The following is a 23,351-nucleotide window of genomic DNA, read 5'->3' as shown; positions in this document are numbered from 1 at the left end:
TGTAAGCTTTAAATGGAATTAGTCAGCATTTTCAATTTTGGTTAGTGCCTTTAAAGCTAGTTTATCTCTGTTTCTATATTAATCGGAATGAAAAGAAACATTTTTGACTTGGCATTGAATGACAGTTGTGATTTTAGTAAATTTCTTGCTCACACATAGGAGCAACAAAAAAATACTTTTTTTTTTTTGAGACAGAGTCTCACTCTGTTGCCCAGGCTGGACTGCAATGGCACAATCTCAGCTCACCACAACCTCCATCCACCAAGTTCAACTGATTCTCTTGCCTTAGCCTCCCAAGTAGCTAGGATTACAGGCATGTATCACCAAGCCTGGCTAACTTTGTATTTTTAGTAGAGACAGAGTTTCTCCATTGTTGGTCAGGCTGGTCTCGAACTCTCAACCTCAGGTAATCCACCCACCTTGGCCTCCCAAAGTGCTGGGATTACAGGCATGAGCCTCCGCACCCCGCCAGTTTCACAATACTTTTGAGCATGGGCATCAAAGTATCCTCAAGGTTAAAAATGTTGGGGTCCAAGCATTCTACCTCTTTGATTTGTATGGTTTGAATTATGACTCAGCATTTTAGGAACATGTTGGCTCCATAATCTTTCACCCACACCCCACTTGAAAAAGAAGATAATTTTTCAGATACACTTGCAGATACAACTACATATTATCCACATCATTTTTCTTGGAACTGAAAACTGGTTTTATACTCAAACATCCTATTGGGCAACTGTCAAATAAATTAATTCTGACATTTGTTAAAAATTGGAAAGAAAGACTTTAATACTATTGCAGTAGATGTTATGGCCATTTTAATAGGATTCAAAAATTGATCACAACTCTGAACACAGACAACTCAGGATTTATAGTCAATAGAAAGAATAGATCAGTGGATAAAAAATTACTGAGAGAAATTTGATAAAATACCAAAAGAAGAGAGATTGTTTTCCAACAGGATTATGGCTACAGGCAGGCTAACGACTTAAATATCAAGGAAGGGGAATTAAGTTTTCAGAAGCTGTAAAGAATATGTGGATTCTTACTAAGCAATCTTAGCAGGATTTCTGAAAATGAGCTTCTCAAACCAGGAGTAGGGTAGTAAGTCAAGGTTGGCTTAGTCAAAAAGAAGGTTCAGTTAAGCTTGACTAACCTTTGGTCATAAAGGGAGTGCTTGTCAGAATGAAGACTTTTTCCCATCTAATCTGAAAATAAATAAACAGTAAAAGAGGCTTTGTTTGGAAAATAAGTGCCCACTTCACCTGAGAATAACTCCATCTTCTTCTCTTTATCTTTGAATTTAGTGTAGCAAAAGAGCACTGGTCATTGCCACAGTTTTTATTTTTCTTTCATTCTTAAAAAGAGAGATTCTGTTTCATTCAAACAGCAAGTTACCAGACACAAAAACTATAGTTCTTGACCCCTATTGAAGCTGACAATGACTAGAGGACGTTCAGGACATTTGGGTGTAAGCAGAAGTATTGATGGAACTTTGGGGAGACTCCTTAGTTGAAGCTAACACAGCTGTGTGAGTCACTTTGACTTTGCACCTTTTCTCCTCCTTTGCTCTTTGAAATGCACATGGTGGTTGGTGCAGGCTGGTGCTCCTACAGCCATCTTGGGCCATGAGACAGCCTACAGCATAAAAACCATCTACCAAAATATTGTAGCAGAGAAGGATGCTGAGATACCTGATTAGAAGCAGCTACGATGTGTGGCTCTCATGGAAAGGAACAAGAAGAGAGTAAATGCAGCATCTTCAACTGAAACACCCAAGTATTTGCCTTGGGACTCATGAAGGAAACAGCTCAACCCATGGAGAATGGAGGAAAGCAGGACAGGGCCACTGACCACTCATGAATGACACAGAGCCAAGGGAAACTACCCTGCCCAGGGAAGTGATGAGTGACTGTGTGATCCTGGAAAACCACACTTCTTCCATGGATCTTTGCCATCCTTGGGTCAGGAGATTTTCTCTTGAACCCATTCCACCAGGGCTTTTGGTCTGACACACAGAGCTGCATGGTCTTGGCAGAGCAACTACTCAGGCACAAACAGAATCTCAGGAGCCTTAGATACTCTGGCTCCGGGATCTCTGGCAAAGGTGAAAGCTACTCAGAAAATGCAAGAATTTGGACCTCTGTAAACACCCCTAGGAAGAAAGCTGAATCCATGGGGCTGAGCAGCATCAGTCTGTGGACCCCACTTTCATAGAGCTTCACAGGATAAGACCCACTGGCTTTGAATTCCAGCCACTCCCCAGCAATGGCATTGCATCTACCTGGGATGGGTCAGAGTTCCTGGAGGCAGGGGCAGGCTGCCATATTTGCTGTTTGGATGACTCAGTCATTCCAGCCTGTGGGTTTAGGAAAGTCCAAACAAAACTGACAGCCTATGGAAAGAAACCTCCAGCAAAGCACAGTGGCTCTACCAAAATGTGGCCAGACTGCTTCTTTAAGTGGAACCCTGACACATTTTTTGTCTCAGGGTGGGGCCTCCTATCAGGGACTCCAGCCGGCCCCTCCCATATTCTCTGGCAGACAGGGATTTGATTTCTCTCTGGGATGCAGTGCCTAGTGGAAGGAGTGGGACACCGTATTTGGTGTTTGGACAACTCAGCCATTCTAGCCTGTGGGCTTAGGAGAGACCAAATCATCAAGGGACAGAAGGAATCTCCCAGCATAGCACAGTGGCTCTACCATAATGTGACTAGACTGCTTCTTTAAGCGGGACTATGATATGCTCCTCATCTCTGAGAGATAATTCCCAACCAGAGCCTCCAGCTACTCCCACTGATGTTCTCTGGGCAACAGAGGTTTGAAAACATTTTGGGGCATAGTTCCTAGAGAGAGGGTTGGGCCAACATCTTTGCTGTTTTGCAATGTAGCTGTTTCAGCCTCCAGGCTTGGGAGAGCCCACCCTGATGAGGGGCAAAAATGGTACCCCAGCACAGCATGGCTGCTCTATTAAAGTGGGGCTAAACTGCTTCTTTAAGTGGGTCCCCAATTCTGTTCCTCCTAGCTGGGCGAGACCTTCTAACTGGGATCTCCAGTCGCCTCCTCCAGATGTGTTTGGGCCAGCAACATGTCTGCACCTCCCCTGGGGATGGAGCTCCCAAGGGAAAGAGTGGGCTGCTATATTTGCTGTTTCACAGCCTTCAGTGGTGATACCTCCAGATACTGAAAAATCCAAGAACTAGGAACTGGGGCAGATGCCCAACTAACTGCAGCAGCTCTACAAAGAATGGCCAAATAGTTAAAAACAAACAAACAAACAAACAAACAAAAACTCCCATTCATAGGTCAGCAACCTCAAAGATTAAAGGTAGATAGGCACACAAAGGTAAGAAAGAATCAGCACAAGAATACTAAAAACTCAAGAAGCCAGAGTGCCCTCCCTTCTCCAAATAACCATATTACTTCTTCAGCAAGGGTTCAGAATGGGGCTGAGGCTGACATGGCTGAAATAACAGAAGTAGACCGCAGAATGTGGATATAAATGAACTTCACTGAGCTAAAGGAGGATGTTCTAACTCAATGCAAGAAAGCTAAAAATTATAATAAAACATTGCAGGAGCTGACAAACAAAGTAGCTAGGATAGAGAAGTACCTAATCAACCTGGTAGAGCTGAAAAACACAATAAAATAATTTCATAATGCAATCACAAGTATTAATAGCAGAATAGACCAAGCAGAGGTCTGAGAAAAATGGGATTATGTAAAGAGACCAAATCTATAACTGATTGGTGTACCTGAAAGAGCTGGGGAGACTGGAACTAATTTGGAAAACATATTTCAGAATATCATCCATGAGAATGTCCCCAATCTTGCTTTCCAGGCCAACATTCAAATTCAGAAAATGCAGAGAACCCCAGTGAGATACTCCATAGACAGATCATACCCAAGACATATAAAAATCAGATTCTCCAAAGTTGAAATTGAAATGAAAAGAAAAAATGTTAAGGTCAGCCAGAGAGAAAGGTCAGGTCACCTACAAAAGGAAGCCCATCAGACTAATAGCAGACGTCTCAGTTAAAACCCTGCAAGCCAAAAGATGTTGTGGGTCAATATTTAACATTCTTAAAGAAAAGAAATTTTAACTCAGAATTGTATGTCTTGCCAAACTAAGCCTAAGCTGGGGTGAAATAACATTCCCTTTAGACAAGCAAATGCTGAGGTAATTCATTACCACCAGATCTGCCTTTCAATAGCTCCTGAAGGAAGCACTAATTTGGAAAGAAAAAATTATTACCAGCCACCACAAAAACACACTGAAGTACACAGACCAGTGACTCTATAAATCAACCACATAAACAAGTCTGCAAAATAACCAGCTAGCATCAAGATGACAGGATTGAATCTACATATTACAATACTAACCTTAAATGTAAATGGACTAAATGCCCCAGTTAAAAGACACAGAGTGGCAAGTGGATAAAGAACCAAGACCCACTGGTATGCTGTCTTCAAGACACCCATCTCACATGCAATAACATACATAGCCTCAAAATAAAGAAATGGACGAAATTTTACCAAGCAAATGGAAAACAGAAAAAAGCAGGGGTTGCAATCCTAGTTTCCAACAAAACAGACTTTAAACCAACAAAGATCAAAAAAGACAAATAGAGGCATTACATAATGGCAAAGGGTTCAATTAAACAAGAAGAACTAACTATACTAAATATATATGCACTGAACACAGGACCAACCAGATTTCTATAACAAGTTTCTAGAGGTCTTCAAAGAGACCTATACCCCCACACAATAATAGTGGGAGACTTTAACACCCCACTGATAATATTAGACAGATTATTGAGACAGAAAATTAACAAAGATATTCAGGACCTGAACTTAGCTCTGAATCAAATGGATGTGAAAGATATTTACAGAACTTTCCACCCCAAAACAACAGAATATATATTCTTCTCTTCACCACATGGCACTTTGTCTAAAATTGGTCACATAGTCACATAGTAAAACACTCCTCAGCAAATGCAAAAGAACTGAAATCATAATAAACAATGTCTCAGACCACAGTACAATCAAATTAGAACTCAAGACTAAGAAACTTACTAAAAACCATACAATTCCATGGAAATTGAATAACCTGCTCCTGAATGACTTTTGGGTAAATAATGAAATTAAGGCAGATATCAAGAAGTTCTTTGAAACTAATGAGAACAAAGACAAAATATACCAGAATCTCTGGGACACAGCTAAGGCAATGTTAAGAAGAAAATTTATAGCACTAAATGCCCATATCAAAAATCTAGAAAGATCTTGGGTTGACAACCTAACATCACAACTAAAATAACTAGAGAAACAAGAGCAAAGAAATCCTGGAGCTAGGAGAAGACAAGAAATAACCAAAATCACTGGGCATGGTGGCTCACGCCTGTAATCCCAGCACTTTGGGAGGCTGAGGTGGGCAGATCACGAGGTCAGGAGATCAAGACCATCTTGGCTAACATGGTGACACCCTGTCTCTACTAAAAATACAAAAAATTAGCTGGGCATAGTGGCAGGTGCCTGTAGTCCCAGCTACTCGGGAGGCTGAGGCAGGCGAATGGTGTGAACCCGGGAGGCGGAGCTTGCAGCAAGCTGAGATCGTGCCACTGCACTCCAGCCTGGGCAACAGAGCAAGACTCCATCTCAAAAAAAAAAAAAAAAAAAAGAACCAAAATCAGAGCTGAACTAAAGGAGATAGAGACATGAGAAACCATTCAAAAGATCAACAAATTCAGGAGCTGTTTGTTTGTTTGTTTTAAAAAATCTAATAATATAGATATACCACTAGATAGACTAATAAGGAAGAAAAGATCAAAAATTCAAATAAACACAATCAGAAATAATAAGGGGGATATTATCACTGACTCCACAGAAATAAAAATAACCATCAGAGAATATTATAAACACCTCTATGCACATAAGATAGAAAATCTAGTTGAAATGGATAAATTCCTGGACACATATGCCCTCCCGAGACTAAACTAGGAAGAAATTGAATCCCTGAAAAGACAAATAACAGGCTCTGAAACTGAGGCAATAATAAAGAGCCGGCCAACCAAAAACACCCCAGGACCAAAAAGATTAACAGCTGAATGCTACGAAATTTACAAAGAAGAGCTGGTAAAATTCCCACTGAAACTGTTTCAAAGAATTGAAACAGAGGGTCTCCTTCCTAACTCTTTCTATGAGGCCAGCATCATCATGGTACCAAAACCTGGCAGAGACATACACACAAAAAGAAAACTTCAGGCCAATATTCTTGGTGAACATTGATGCAAAAATTCTCAACAAAATACTGGCAAACAAAATCCAGCAGTATGTAAAAAAGCTTATCCACCACAATCAAGTAGGCTTCATCCATGGGATGCAAGGTTGGTTCAACATACACAAATCAATATGTGATTGATCACATAAACAGAATTAAAGACAAAAACCACATGATTATCTCAATAAATGCAGAAAAAGCTTTCAATAAAATTCAACATCCATTCATGTTAAAAACTCTCAATACACTAGGTATTGAAAAAACATACCTCAAAATAATAAAAGCCATATATAACAAACCCACAGACAACATCATACTGAAAGGGCAAAAGCTGAAAGCATTCCCCATTAAAACCGGCACAAGACAAGGATGCCCTCTCTCACCACTCCTATTTAAGATAGTATTGAAAGTCCTGGTCAGAGCAATCAGGCAAGAGAAAGAAATAAAAGGCATTCAAATAGAAAGAGAGGGAGTTAAACTATGCCTGATGGCAGACAACATGATCCTACATGTAGAAAACCCCATCGTCTCAGCCCCAAAGCTTCTTAAGCTGATAAACATCTTTAGCAAAGTCTCAAGATGAAAAATTAAGGTGCAAAAATTACTAGCATTCTTTTTTTTTTTTTTTTTTTTTTTTTTTTGAGACGGAGTCTCGCTCTGTTTCCCAGGCTGGAGTACAGTGGCGCGATCTTTGCTCACTGCAAGCTCCGCCTCCCGGGTTCACGTCATTCTCCTGCCTCAGCCTCCTGGGTAGCTGGGACTACAGGTGCCCGCCACCATGCCGGCTAATTTTTTGTATTTTTAGTAGAGATGGGGTTTCACTGCCTTAGCCAGGATGGTCTCGATCTCCTGACCTCATGATCCGCCCACCTCGGCCTCCCAAAGTGCTGGGATTACAGGTGTGAGCCACTGCACCCGGCCTACTAGCATTCTTATACACCAACAACAATCAAGCCAAGAGCAAAATCCTGAATAAACTCCCATTCACAATCACCATGAATAGAATAAAACACCTAGGAATGCATCTAACAAAGGAAGTGAAAGGCCTCTACAAGGAGAACTATAAAACACTACTCAAAGAAATCAGAGCAGGGCATGGTGGCTCATGCCTGTAATCCCAGCACTTTGGGAGGCTGAGGTGGGCAGATCACAAGGTCAGGAGTTCGAGACCAGCGTGAGCAACATGGTGAAACCACATCTGTACTAAAAATACAAAAATGAGCCAAGCACGGTGGTGCACACCTGTAATCTCAGCTACTCAGGAGGCTGAGGTAGGAGAATCGCTTGAACCTGGGAGGCAAAGGCTGCAGTGAGCCAAGATCACACCACTGCACTTCAGCCTAGGTGACAGAGCAAGACTCCAACTCAAAAAAAAAAAAAAACAAAGATGATATAAGACTTAATATTGTTAAAATGGCCACACTGCCCAAGTAAATGTGTAGAGTTAATAGAATTCCCATTAAACTACCACTGACATTTTTCACAAAACAAGAAAAATGTATTTTAAAATTGATATGGAACCAAACGAGAACCTGAATAGTCAACACAATCCTAAGCAAAAAGAACAAAGCAGAAGACATCACACTACCCAACTTCAAACTATGCTAAGGTGCTACAGTAACCAAAAAAGCATGGTACTAGTACAAGAACAGACATAGACCAATGAAACACAATACAGAACTCAGAAATAAGACCGCATATCTACAACTATCTCATTTTTGATAAACCTGACAAAGACAAGCAATGGGAAAAGGACTCCCTATTCAATAAATGGTGTTGGGATAACTGGCTAGCCATATGCAGAAAATTGAAACTGACCCCCTTCCTCCATCATCCTCAGCAAACTAACACAGGAACAGAAAACCAAACACCACATGTTCTCACTCATAAGTGGAAGTTGAACAATGATAACACATGGACATAGGGAGGGGAACAACATACATCAGGGCTAGTCAGGGGATGGGGGGCGAGAAGAGGGAGAGCATAAGGACAAATAGCTAATGCATGCAGGGCTTAAAACCTAGATGATGTGTTGATTGCTGCGGTAAGCCACATGGCACATGTATACCTATGTAACAAACCTGCATGTTCTGCACTTGCATCCTGGAACTTAAAGTAAAATTTAAAAAAAGAACTGAACTCCTTCCTTACACTATATACAATAATTAAGTCAAGATGGTTTAAAACTTAAATATAAAACCCAAAACTATAAAAACTTTGGAAGACAACCTAGGCAATACGATTCAGGACGTAGGCATGGGCTAATATTTTATGATGAAGATGCCAAAAACAATTGGAACAAAGGAAATATTGACAAATGGGATCTAATTAAACTGAAGAGCTTGTGCACAGCAAAAAAAAAAAAAAAAAAAAAATGCCTACAGAGTAAGCAGACAACATACAGAATGGGAGAAAATTTTTGTGAACTATGCATTTGACAAAGATTTAATTTCCAGCATCTACAAGGAACTTAAATTTACAAGAAAAAAGCAAACAACCCCATTAAAAAGTGGGCAAAGGACAGGAAGAGACACTTCTCAAAAGACATACACACAGCTAATAAAGCATGTGAAAAAACCTCAACATCACCAATAATTAGAGAAATGCAAATCCAAACCACAATGAGATACTGTTTTATACCAGTCAAAATGGCTATTATTAAAAACTCAGAAAATAACAGATGTTGGCAAAGTTGTGGAGAAAAAGGAACATTTTTACCCTGTTGGTGGGAGTGTAAATGAGTTCAACCATTGTGGAAGACAGTGTGATGATTCCTCAAAGACCTAAAGACAGAAATATTATTCACCCCAGCAATCTCATCACTGAGTATATACCCAAAGGAATATAAGTCTTTCTATTATAAAGACACATGCACGCACACGTTCATTGCAGATCTAGTCACAATAGCAAATACCTTAAATCAATCCATGTGTTCATCAGTGATAGACTGGATAAAGAAAATATAGTACATATACACCATGGAATACTGTGCAGCCATAAAAAAAGAAGAAGATCATGTCCTTTGTAGAGACATGGATGAAGCTGGAGGTCATTGTCTTTAGCAAACTAACAAAGGTACAGAAAACCAAATACTGCAAGTCCTCACTTATAAATGGGAGCTAGATGATGAGAACACACAGACACATACAGGGGAACAACATGCACTAAGGCATATTGTGAGGTGAAGAGTGGGAGGAGGGAGAGAAGCAGAAAAAATAACTAATGGATAGTAAGCTTAATACCTGGGTGATAAAACAATCTGTACAACCAATCTTTATGACACATCTTTACCTATGTAACAAACCTGCACATCCGGCACATGTACCCCTGAACTTAAAAGTTAGAAAAAGAAAAAAAAAGTAGCAAAAAGATAATTTTTGACTGCCTTGGTGCACAGTCCAGAGTCATGGACTGTCCAGCTCTAAGATTCTTATTTATGAGAAAGAAAGCATTCTGTATCTTGTCTGCACTACTGTTATATTGGGCATCCTTCTACTTATAGGCAAATGTAATCCTAACCAAAGTGCTAGCTTTGACATGGAATCCCTGGTAATCTTCGGTAAGACATATCACTTTCCAAGGACCATTTTTTTATCTGCATAGTGGTGGAGGCAGGAGTGGGGAAGATTTAATTCTGAAGTTCTAGTGCCTTCATATGGCCCACATCCATAGTTCCTTGTACAGTTAATAGCATCTCAGATTCTCTTTGTGGGACTACTCCACCACAAAGGGTCCATCAGTCCATGTGTTAAGTGAGGATGTCACCACTTTCTAGATGCAGAGGACAGGGGACATATTGGGTATGCTCCAGTGGGAGCTGCTGGGGGATAAAGGTGGGTCTCATATGCGCACATTGTCTGTGGTCCTTGAAGGATCCTGTGCGCGTGACCTTTTTTGGACAGAAGGTCCAGCTGCCCAGTGCAGAACTCATCTATTTCTGTCCAACTGAGGAAGATCTGGGTACACCCTGATCACAGCCCTGCTACACCCATCCTAGTTGGTAGGGAGCTTGCACCGTGTGCATGCTGAGCTGTGGCTTAAACACTTTGACATCTAACATCTCACTGGATAACTGGGAAACTGAGGTCTGGAGAGAAGCAGAGACTGGCCCAGAGAACATAAAGTTGGCAGAGTCCAGAGGATAAAAGAGCATTCTGACCTCATAGGCCAGGGCTCATCGCTATCACGGGGTTTGCTTTGAGAATGAGAGTCCCTGAGATCTTGAGAATTTCTGCCAATTTTCTCGTATGGAGCACACTCATATCTGCACCATTAAACTTGCACAGGTTTCCGTGCATGAGCGTGCACACACACACACACACAGACTTCTCAGGTTAAAGGTCAGAAGAGCAGTTAACACTGATGGAGTGACAAGAAGACAGAGGATGAGGGCAGCTCTGCCACGGGGTAGGGGCACCCAGTCTCCTGGGTAACATGCCCAGGACCTATAACATGGGGAGGAGAAAAGATAACAGGCTGATGACTTGGGAACCTCAAGGTTCCCATGGATCTGCCTGTTCTGTGGCCATCCCCAGGAAAGCTTTTAGAGGACAAAAACTTAGTTTCTGCATTCATTGCTCTGTGTAATTAAAATTGGGAGTAATCCCCCTACACACAGTATGAAGGGGAATACAGTAGTGAAAAACCTCAAATTTTTCTCTGTAAATTGAAGTAATTGACCTGGGTGGCATCTAAATTTCGAACGCTCAAAAAGGTGAGTTGACCTTGCTGTCTATCAATTACCCACTGTACTCTCAGATCCTTGGAAATTTCTCCATATCCTCTGGAGGCCTTTCAGAGCAGAAATTTGCTTGGGGGTTTGTGGGACTGAGCACTCAGGCTAGTGTAGAATGTGGCAGAGCATCAGATCACTGCTCTGAAGACCATCCCTGTCATAGCTCTGGGGTTCTTTTTTGGAAGTGGAACCAGAGTCATTTTCCAGGCTGGGATGATGAACTTGTGAGTTAACTGGATACCTCAGAACAGTGGAGGCAAACAAGGAAGCACAGGAGGCTTCTGAGGTCTCTTACATTGCCCTGGAGCCTGTAGGCCTCACTCATTTGCCCTCTTGTATCATAGTTTATTTGTTTGTTAAATTATTTTACGTTTGGATTTAAAATTTTTTTTAGTTTGTTGAAGGTTTGTCAATTTTTAACTTTTCAAAAAAGCCAATTTTTTCATTGATCTTTTGTATTTTTTGTTCAATTTTTTTTCTGCTCTAATCTTTATGATTTTTTTCTTCTAATAACTGTAGATTTGGTTTGCTCTTGCTTTTCTAGTTCTCTAAGATACAGTATTAGGTTGTGTATTTGAGATTTTTTTGGGGGGGGGATGTAGGCACTTATACCTATAAACTTTCCTGTTAGTACTGCTTTTGTGTATCCCATAGATATTGATACGTAGTGTTTTTATTATCATTTGTTTCAAGAAAATGTTTAATTTTCTTCTTAATTTCTTCATTGACCCACTGATCATTCAGGAGCATATTGTTGATTTTTCATGTATTTGTATAGTTTTTATAATTCCTCTTTTTATTAATTTCTAATTTTATTCCATTGTGGACAAATAAGATATTTGATATTATTTCAAGTTTTTGAATGTTTTAGGACTTGTTTTGTGGCCTAACATATAGTCTATCCTTGAAAATAATCCATGTGCTAAAGAAAAGAATGTATATTCTGCAACCATTACATGAAATGTTCTCTAAATCCCTATTAGATACATTTGATCTATAGCACAGATTAAGTCCAACATTTCTTTGTTGATATTCTGTCTGGAATACCAATTCAATGCTGAAAGTGGAGTGTTGGAGTCTCCAGCTATTATTGTATTGGAGTCTATCTGTCTCTTTGGCTCTAATAATATTTGCTTTACATATTTCAGTGCTCAAGAGTTGGGTGTATTTATATGTAAAATTGTTATAGTCTCGTTAACTTTACCCCTTTATCATTATATAGTAACCTCTTTGTCTTTTCTTATAATTTTTGTCTTAAAATCTATTTTTCTAATGTTTAAGTATAGCTACTACCGCATTTTTTTTGTTTCCATTGACATTGAATATCTTTTTCCACTTCTAAAACTTTCAGTCTATGTGTGTCTTCATAGATGAGGTGAATTTCTTACAGGCAAAGGATAAATATGTCTTGTTTTTATATACATTCATCCCCTCTGTCTTGACTGGAGAGTTTAGTCTATTTACATTCAATGTTATTATTGATAAGCAAGAACTTACTTCTGCCATTTTATTTGATTTATGGTTGCTTTGTGGTCTTCTCTTTTATCTTTCTTTGCTTTTTGTCTTCCTTTTAGTGAAGGTAGTTTTCTCTGGTGATATGATTTAGTTTTGTGCTTTTTATTTTTTGCGTATTCCTTGTATGTTTTTTGGTTTGAGCTTACCATGAGGCTTGCAAATGCTATCTTATAACCTATTATTTTAATCTAATAACAACTTAACACTGTTTGAATAAACAAAGAAGCAAAAAGAATAATAAAATCTCTATGCTTTAATTCTTTTCCCTTACTTTTTGTTGTTTCTATTTATATGTAATTTTACTGTCTATGTCTTGAAAAGTTGTTGTAGTTGTTATTTTTGATTGGTTTATTGTTTAGTCTTTCTACCTTGCATAAGAGTAGTTCATACATCACAGTTACAGTGTTATAATATTATTTGATTTTCTGTGTACTTACTATTACCAGCAACTGTATTTAACTATGTGGTTTAAATAATTCCTCCATCAGCAGGTGTAAGCTGAGTTTTGTTTGGTTTTTCTTTCTGTTATAACATGAAAGCACTGAATTCAATGCCTCACAATTGCTGAACTCTCCCTTTCTGCACCATGCCACCATTGTTGGGGGATGTGGGAGAAATAGTGTAAGAGATTCAAGACTGTTTTTCCTACCCGTTCAGTGCCTCTTTCAGCAATATGAAGTTAAAACCAGGTACCATGAGTGCTCACCTGATTTTTGTTTCTTATGAAGGTGATTTTAAATGTAGGTTGTTGTTAAATTGGTGTCCTTACAGGGGGGAAGGTTGGTGAAGCCTTCTATTCTACCATCTTGATGTACCTATGAACCGGTTATGGCTTTTTTTTTTTTTTTTTGAGACAGAGCCTTGCTCTGTCACCCAGGCTGGAGTGCAGTGGCACTATCTTGGCTCACTGCAACCTCCACCTCCCGGGATCAAACAATTCTTCTGCCTCAGCCTCCAGAGTAGCTGGGATTAGAAGCACACACCACTACACCTAATTTTTATATTTTTAGTAGAGACAGGGTTTCGCCATGTTGGCCAGGCTGGTCTCAAACTCCTGACCCCAGGTGATCCACCTGCCTCAGACTCCCAAAGTGTTGAGATAACAGGCATGAGCCACAGCTCCCAGTGGACGTTTTAAATTAATTAGTTTAAAGCTACATACCCATATAAGTTTTCCAATGTCTCCAAATTACTAGAGGCCCCATTTTAAAATAAAATTTTGGCCTCTAAATTTCTTTATTATAACATTTAGTAAATAGAAAATTATCAAAGAACTATTCAAAACATTTAGTCTGTAACTGTCATTGCTACCATATAATAAATTCTATGAGGGCAGGGACTCAGTCGGTGACTCATGGGTTCTCTGATATGTGACTGCTCTTTGTGGTAATTAAACCTCTGCATAAAATAATGAATGAAGGTCTGCACATTAAAAAAATAATTCCACATAAAATGTAGATCTATGTGATCATCTTAGGAAACTGTATATTCCTTCCATAGCAGGAAGAGGTTATCCTGGATATTCTGGGGTCATGGCTTATGAGAACAATGGACCTGACTATAGAAAAAACAAGCAGTGATCAGTTTAGAGTTTTTCATAAGCCAACAACTTGGATTATAAAAAAGAACCCTCCCCTTCCCCCTCCCCCTCCCCCTCCCCCTCTCCCGTCTCCCACTTTCCATGGTCTCCCTCTGATGCCGAGTGGAGGCTGGACTGTACTGCCGCCATCTCGGCTCACTGCAACCTCCCTGCCTCATTCTCCTGCCTCAGCCTGCCAGTGCCTGGGATTGCAGGCGCGCACCGCCACGCCTGACTGGTTTTTGTATTTTTTGGTGGAGATGGGGTTTCACCATGTTGGCCGGGCTGGTCTCCAGCTCCTGACCGCGAGTGATCTGCCCGCCTGGGCCTCCCCGGGTGCCGGGATTGCAGACGGAGTCTCGCTCACTCAGTGCTCAATCTTGACCAGGCTGGAGTGCAGTGGCGTGATCTCCGCTCGCTACAACCTCCACCTCCCAGCCGCCTGCCTTGGCCTCCCAAAGTGCTGAGATTGCAGCCTCTGCCCGGTCGCCACCCCGTCTGGGAAGTGAGGACCGTCTCTGCCTGGCCACCCATCGTCTGGAATGTGAGGAGCCCCTCTGCCCGGCTGCCCAGTCTGGGAAGTGAGGAGCGCCTCTTCCCGGCTGCCATCCTGTCTAGGAAGTGAGGAGCGTCTCTGCCCGGCCGCCCCGTCTGGGATGTGAGGAGCACCTCTGCCCGACCGCCACCCCATCTGGGAGGTGAGGAGTGTCCCTGCCCGACCGCCACCCCGTCTGGGAGGTGAGGAGCGTCTCTGCCCGGCCACCCCGTCTGAGAAGTGAGGAGCCCCTCCACCCGGCAGCCGCCCCGTCGGGGAAGTGAGGAGCCCCTCCATCCGGCAGCCGCCCCATCTGGGAAGTGAGGAGCGTCTCCGCCCAGCAGCTGCCCAGTCCGGGAGGGAGGTGGGGGCAGCCCCCGCCTGGCTGCCACCCTGTCCCGGAGATGGGGGGCGCCTCTGCCCAGCCGCCCCGTCTGGGAGGTGAGGAGCCCCTCTGCCCGGCCGCCACCCCGTCTGGGAGGTGTACCCAACAGCTCATTGAGAAAGGGCCATGATGACGATGGCGGTTTTGTCTAATAGAAAAGGGGGAAATGTGGGGAAAAGAAAGAGATCAGATTGTTACTGTGCCTGTATAGAAAGAAGTACACATAGGAGACTCCATTTTGTTCTGTACTAAGAAAAATTCTTCTGCCTTGGGATGCTGTTAATCTATAACCTTACCCCCAACCCCGTGCTCTGAAACATGTGCTATGTCCACTCAGGGTTAAATGGATTAAGGGCGGTGCAAGATGTGCTTTGTGAAACAGATGCTTGAAGGCAGCATGCTTGTTAAGAGTCATCACCACTCCCTAATCTCAAGTACCCAGGGACACAAACACTGCGGAAGGCAGCAGGGCCCTCTGCCTAGGAAAACCAGAGACCCTTGTTCACATGTTTATCTGCTGACCTTCCCTCCACTATTGTCCTATGACCCTGCCAAATCCCCCTCTCTGAGAAACACCCAAGAATGATCAATAAATACTAAAAAATAAAAAAATAAAAAAATTAAAAAAAACGTATATACTGAAAAGATGTAGAAGAGAGTGTAAAATAATACAAAGGTGCTCCTTAGGACAAAGATGTTTTGGGTGACTGTGGACTCAGGTGAGAATTTAGGAGTGGTGTTGGACCTATGAATGTGTTGGACCCCACTACTTGTGTTGAACAGGATAAAAGTCATGGAGCTGCTGGCCCAGGTTAAAAGTTCCAAACACAAAACATTAAAAAATAATAAAAGCACAACATGTGATAAATGTGGAATTCTGTTATTAACTACTCCAGAACAGTGTTTTAAATAATTTTTGTGTTGTTTATTGTGTTCCATTTGCCAGTAACATACATAGGAAAAATGACATTTATAAGCCTATTCAGAATTCAGCACATAATTTGGATATTAGAGATTCAAATATATTTGGAATCATGTAGTTTAAGCTATGCCCACATGAGGTTTTTGGGGCTGATGGTGATGGCCTGGGAGATACTCAAGAGGCAGATGGTGTCAATGCACATGCTCTGGCCACTCTCTGAACATAGAAAACACTTTCTATTTAATATTACTGAGAAAATATTTCAACTCCAAATCAGTCATCATCTAAAGGACTTTTTTTAGAGAGTACCAAGGAGTTGGCCATAGTCAGGTGCTTGAGAATCAAATCTGTGGATCATAATGTGCATGTGGTAAATAAAGAAAACTCTGATGCCAAGAAACAAAAAATCCCAGCTATTTAACTATGGTCTGAGATAAGATCATTCCTACTGCTATATTACTGGAGACAATCTGTTATTTTCAAGTGACTTATAATTTCATTCCAAGTGAGGAGATCTTTCATGGACAGATGACGTCTGCTTTATGGAGGAAACCAAAACATTCTGCCGTATACTTGCCATTGTTTCCAACTCAGAAATATTTTATTGAACCCCTTTTTTTGTAACAGTTTTGTTCTAAAAAGAAAAACATATATTCCCACTATATTATAGTACTACTCTAGAATACTATAACAAGTTTTACATGTATTTTTATCATAAATCTACAACGTGCTTTATTGTTCCCTTTTTACAGGTGAGGAGATATTAAACAAAAGAAGGCTGAATGACATTTCTAAAGTCACCTCATTATAAAAAGAAAGTTTCAGGAGTAGACAATGTGCTTATCCACTATGTTTCTCAATCTTACAGACACAGATACACTTTAATATGTCACAAATTTATTTTTAATTTTTGCATATTTTGTACATTTTATAACTATAAAATACAGTTGTACTTTTAAAAAGTTTTGATTGTGGCAATTTCTCATTTAAATCTAATTAAATTAAATCTAACCATTAATTATACAGAAAATTAGTATTTTTGATGAATAAAAACTAAATAAAGTTATTTCAATATTAGAATTATTAAATATATTAAAACATAAATCCATTTTGGAGAGGGAAACTGGAGGCAGGACCAGAAGGTTCTTGCCCTGACATGTCTGAGGTCAACAAGATGGCTCCTCCATTGCCATGTCTAAGATTCACCACATGGCTCTTGCCAAGTGGCAATACCATTCAGGTCCAGCAGAAGGATGTGATCATGATTCTCTGCAGCCTCAGTCTTCCTGGTCCCACCTGCGTGGTCTTCCCATCTCAGCCTCCTGAGTACCTGGGACTACTCGGAACTTCTTTCTCTTTTTTTCTAAAGCCACTTTCGGTTTGTTTCCACAGTATTTCTAGTGACTTGCTGTTGTTTTTCTTCTTTGTTCTTTCTCTATCTATTTTCCTACACTCCTTCCTATAAGCTGAAGTTAACTATTTTTTTTTGTCACACTCCAGCGTGGGTGTGACAAATGGAGAAAGAGAGAAAAAAAGAGGGGATAATATTGATTGTGATATTTATTATCCTCTTTACCTTTTTCACTCATTTATTTTCCTTAATATTGTTTGTTATTATTTCTTTGTTATTGTTAAATATTTATTGTTGGGTTTTTTGTTTATTTATTTTGAGACAGCTGTCGGCTGTGAGCATTGGGCTTAGCCACCAGATTGCCATGTCTATGGCCAACCAGATGGCTCTTGCCTTGCCATGTCTAAGGTCCTCCAGATGCCTCATGTTTCACCATGTCTAAGGTCAACCAGATGGCTCTTGCAAGCAGCAGTCCCACTTAGATCCAGCAGACGGATGCCATCCTGATTCACTGCAGCCTTGATCTTTCCAGTCTCACCCAGGTGGTTTTCCCATCTCAGCCTCCTGAGTACCTTGGACTACTCAGACCTTCTTCCTTTTTTTTTTCCTAACCCCACTTTCAGTTTGTCCCACAGTACTTAGAGTGACTTGCTGTTGTTTTTCTTGTTTGTTCTTTTCTCTATTTTCCTATAGTCCTTTGCGCACATTGCAGTTGAATTTTTAGGTTATTTTTTATTTGTCACACTCCAGCCTGGGTGTGACAAAAGGAGAGAGAGAGAGAGAGAGGAAATCTTAACTGTGATATTAATTACCTTTTATTTTTTTCACTCCCACTTATTTATTTATTGGTCCTTAATATTGTTATTTCTTTGTTATTGTTAAATGTGTAATGTTGGTATTTTTGTTTATTAATTTTGAGACAGATGCCAGCCATGACCCTTGGTCTTAGCCACCAGCTTGCCATGTCTAAGGTTGACCAGATGGTTCTCACCTGTGGCAGTACCCTTCAGGTCCAGTAGAGGGATGTGATCGAGATCTCCCCAGTCTTGCCTGGGTGGTCTTCCCATCTCGGCCTCATGAGTACCTGGGACTACTCAGACCTTCTTCCTTTTTTTTTTTCTAACCCCACTTTCAGTTTGTTTCCAGAGTACTTAGAATGACTTGCTGTTATTTTACTTGTTTTCTTTCTCTCTCTATTCTACATACCTTTCTACATGCTTAAGTTTACCTTTTAGATTTTTTTGTCACACTCCAGCTGGGTGTGACAAATGAAGAGAGAGAGAGAGAGAGAGTGAAGAAGATCTTACTTGTAATATTAATTACTTTTTATCTTTGTTGACTCCTGCTTATTGATTTACTGGTGTTTAGTATTGTTTGTTATTATTTCTTTGATATTGTTAAATATTTACTGTTGGTTTTTTTGCTTATATATTTTCTGATGGATATCAGCCATGAGCATTGGGCTTAGCTGCCAGCTTGCCATGTCTAAGGTTGACCAGATGGTTCTCGCTGGTGGCCATACTGTTTCAGGTCCAGCAGAGTGATGTGATTATGACTCTCTGTAGCCTCAGTCTTGTTCTCACATGGGTGATCTTTCCATCTCAGCCTCTAGAGTCCCTGCAACTACTAGGACCTACTTCCTCTGTTTTTGTTCTAACCCCACTTTCAGTTTGTTCCACAGTAGTTAGAGTGACTTGCTGTTGTTTTAAATCTTTGTTGTTTTCTCTATTTTTCTATGTTCCTTTCTGCATGCTGAAGTTGACCTCTTAGATTTTTTTTATTTTTGTCACACTCCAGCTTGAGTGTGATAATCAGAGAGAGAGAGAGAAGAATATCTTAATTGTGATATTAATTATTTTTTACCCTTGTTCACTCTCATTTATTTATTGGTCTTTTACCGAGACCAGCTCAGTCGTGGAGACCCTAACCCAGTGGCGCTAGAGGAATTAAAGACACAGACACAGATACAGAGTGCAGAGTGGGAATCAGGGGGCTGATAGCCTTCAGAGCTGACCGCCACAAACAGAGTGCTACCCACATATTTATTGACAGCAAGCCAGTGATAAGCATTGTTTCTATAGATTATAGATTAACTAAAAGCATTCCTTATGGGAAACAAAGGGATGGGCTCTGGCTAGTTATCTGCTGCAGGAACATGTCCTTAAGGCACAGATTGCTCATGCTATTGTTCATGGTTTAGGAATGCCTTAAGCGGCTTTCCACCCTGGGTTGGCCAGGTGTTCCTTGCCCTCATTCTGGTAAACCAAAAACCTTCAGCATGGGCATCATAGCCATCACAAGCATGTCACAGTGCTGCAGAGATTTTGTTTATGGCCAGTTTTGGGGCCTGTTTATGGCCAGATTTGGGAGCCTGTTCCCAACAGTCTTTAATATTGTTTGTTATTATTTCTTAGTTATTGTTAAATATTTACTGTTGTTTTTTTTTGTATATTTATTTTGTGACATATGTCGGCTGCGAGTGTTGGACTTAGTCGCCAGCTCACCATGTCTAAGGTCAAACTGATGGCTCTTGCTGGTGTCAAGGTTGACCACATGGCTCTCATTGGCAGCACTATTGTTCAGGCCCAGCAGAGGGATACAATCATGATTCAATGCAGCAACGATCTTCGTGGTCTCATCCGGAAGGTTTTCCCATCTCAGCCTCCCATTTACCTGGGACTACACAGTCCATCTTCCTACTTTTTTTTTTCTACCCCCACTTTCATTTTGCTTCCACAGTATTTAGGGGGAGTTGCTGTGGCCTTTATTCTTTGTTCTTTGCTCTGTTTCTTTTTTTCTTTTATTTTTTGCTACCTTCTTTCCTCCACACTGACATGGATGTTTAATTTAATTTTATTTTTTGTAGGTCTTCTAACTCTGTCACACCCTGGCTGGAGTGTAGGTGTTCAATCAGCAGTGAGTCATTACCGTGACCTTGCCCTCCAGCCTGTGTGTGACAGTGTGACACACAGAGATTGATGGAGAGAGGGATAGACAGAGAGACAGAGACACAGACAGTGGCAGAGAGACCAAAACAGAGACAGACAGAAAGACAACAATTAGTTGTGATATTAATTCCATTTTACCTTTGTTCACTCCCACTTACTTATTTATTGGTCTTGTTATTGTTATTTCTTTGTTATTTTTAAATATTTATGGGCTGAGCGAGGTGGCTCATGCCTGTAATCTCAGCACTTTGGGAGGCCGAGGCAGGTGGATGAACTGAGGTCGGGAGTTCGAGACCAGCCAGACCAACATGGAGAAACCCCATCTCTACTAAAACTACAAAATTAGCCAGGCGTGGTGGCGCATGCCTGTAATCCCAGCTACTTGGGAGGCTGAGACAGGAGAATCGCTTGAACCCAGGAGGCAGAGGTTGCGGAAAGACAAAATTGCACTATTGCACTCCAGCCTGGGCAATGAGGGCAAGACTCTGTCTCAAAAAATATATATATTGTTGGTTTTCTTGTTTATACATTTTATGACAGATGTCAGCCACGAGTGTTGGACTTGGTCGCCAGCTTGCCATGTCTAAGGTCGACCATTTGGCTCTTGCTGGCAGCAGTACCATTCAGGTCCAGCAGAGGGATGCGATCATGATTCACTGCAGCCTGCATCTCCCCAGTCTCACGGGGCTGATCTTCCCATCTTGGCCTCCCGAGTACCTGGGACTACTCAGACCTTCTTCCTCTGCTTTATTTCTAACCCCACTTTCAGTTTGCTTCCACAGTACTTTGAGAGAGTTGCTGTAGTTTTTCTTTTTGTTCTTTGCTGTCTCTCTTTTTTTTTTAATTTTTTTTACGCTCTTTCCTGCATGCAGAAGTTGATGTTTTATACACATATATAATTTTTTAGCTAGGTCTTCTCACTCTGTCACACCCTGGCTGGAGTGCAGGTGCATGACCAGCAGTGAGCTGTGACTGCACACCTTCACCTCAGCCTGGGTTTGACAGTGTGACATACAGAGATCAAAGAGAGAGACAGAAAGACAGACAGAGACACAGACAGACAGAAACAGACAGAGAAATAGAGACAGAGAGAGACAACAATAAATTGTGATATTAATTACCTTTTACCTTTGTTCACTCCCATTTATTTATTTATTGATTGGTCATATTATTGTTCATTATCATTTCTCTGTTATTATTATTTACTGTTGGTCATTTGTTTATTAATTTTGAGGCAGTTGTCAGCTGCGAGCATTGGACCTGGCCGCCAGCTTGCCTTGTCTAAGGTCAGCCAGATAGCTCTCACCGGCAGCAGTATTGCTCATATTACTCAGGTAAGGCAGAGGGATGCAATTTTTTTTTTTTTTAGATGGAGTTTTGCTCTTGTTGCCCAGGCTAGAGTGCAGTGGCGCAATCTCGGCTCACTGCAACCTCCCCCTTCCAGTTTCAAATGATTCTCCTGCTTCAGCCTCCCAAGTAGCTGAGATTACAGGCACCCGCCACCACGCCCAGCTAATTTTTTTTTTATTTTTAGTAGAGATGGGGTTTCACCATGTTGGTCAGGCTGGTCTTGATCTCCTGATCTCGTGATCCACCCGCCTCGGCCTCCCAAAGTACCAGGATTACAAGCGTGAGCCACTGAGCATGGCTGGAAAGAGATGCAACTGTGATTCATTGTGGCATTGATCTCCCTGGTCTTGCCCAGGTGGTCTTCCCATCCATCTCGGCCTCCTAAGTACCTGAAACTGCTTGGATCTTCCTCTGTTCTTTTTCCAACTCCACTTTCAGTTTGCTTCCACAGAACTTAGAGGGAGTTGCTGTGGTTTTTCTCCTTTGTTCTTTGCTCTCTTTGTTTCATTTCCTTACACTCCTTTCTGCACGCTGAAACTGATGTTTTAGATTTCTTTTTTTTTTTTTTAGCTGGGTCTTCTCACTCTGTCACGCCCTGGCTGGAGTGCAGGTGAGTGATCAGCAATGAGCTGTGACCACACATGTGCACTCCAGCCTGGGTGTGAAACTGTGACACATGGAGATCAAGGGAGAGAGAGACAGAAAGAGAGACAATTAATTGTGATATTAATTACCTTTTATCTTTGTTCCCTCCCACTTATTTGTCTTATTATTGTTTTTTATTATTTCTTTATTGTTGAATATTTACTGTTGTTAGTTTATTTATTTTGAGACAGACTTCAGCCATGAGCATTGGACTTGGCCGCCAGCTTGCCATGTCTCAGGTGGACCAGATAGCTATAACCAGTGGCAGTACTTTTCAGGTCCAAAGGAAGGATGTGATTGTGATTCCCTATAGCCTTGATCTCCCCAGTCTCACCCTGGTGGTCTTTCCATTCAGCCTCCTAAGTATGTAAAACTACTCAAACCTTCTTCCTCTGTTTTTTTTCTAGCCCCACTTTCAGTTGGCTTCAACAGTACTTAGAGAGAGTTGCCGTAGTTTTTCTTTTGTGTCCTTTGTTCTCTCTCTCTCTTTTTAAAATCTTTTATGCTCCTTCCTAGATGCTGAAGTTGATGTTATATATATTTCTATTTAGCTAGGTCTTCTCACTCTGTCACATCATGGCTTGAGTGCAGGTGTGCAATCAACAGTGAGCTGTAACCATACACCTGCACTCTAGCCTGGGTGTGATAGTGTGACACACAGAGATCAAGGGAGAGAGAGACAGAGAAACAGAAAGACAGAAACTGAGAAACAGAGAGAGAACAACTAATTGTGATATTAATTACCTTTTACGTTTGTTTACTTCTACTTATTTATTGGTCTTATTGCTTGTTATTATTTCTTTGTTATTGTTAAAATTTACTGTTGGTTTTTTGTTTATTTATTTTGAGAGAGATGTTGGCCATGAGCTTTGGACCTGGCTGTCAGCTTGCCATGTCTAAGGTCGACCAGATGGCTCTCACTGGCGCCTGTACCATTCAGGTCCATGCAGACTGTGATTCACTGGTCACGTCCAGTTGGTCTTCCCATCTCAGCCTCCCAAGTACCTGGAACTACTTGGACCTTCTTCTTTCTTTTTTTCTCTAACCCCACTTTCAGTTTATTTCCACAGTACTTAGAGTAACTTGGTGTTGTTTTTCTTCTTTTTTCTT

General features: G+C 41.0%; 2 pseudogenes; both read right to left on the bottom strand.

Annotated features, from left to right (window-relative positions):
* Positions 13,987-14,875, bottom strand: VN1R91P (vomeronasal 1 receptor 91 pseudogene; annotated as a pseudogene).
* VN1R90P (vomeronasal 1 receptor 90 pseudogene) lies at positions 15,646-16,390 on the bottom strand (annotated as a pseudogene).

Source organism: Homo sapiens, chromosome 19 (genome assembly GCF_000001405.40).
Source record: "Homo sapiens chromosome 19, GRCh38.p14 Primary Assembly".
Taxonomy (NCBI): Eukaryota; Metazoa; Chordata; class Mammalia; order Primates; family Hominidae; genus Homo; species Homo sapiens.
Note: the sequence above shows the minus strand (reverse complement) of the source record. Positions and strands in the feature narration are given on the sequence as shown.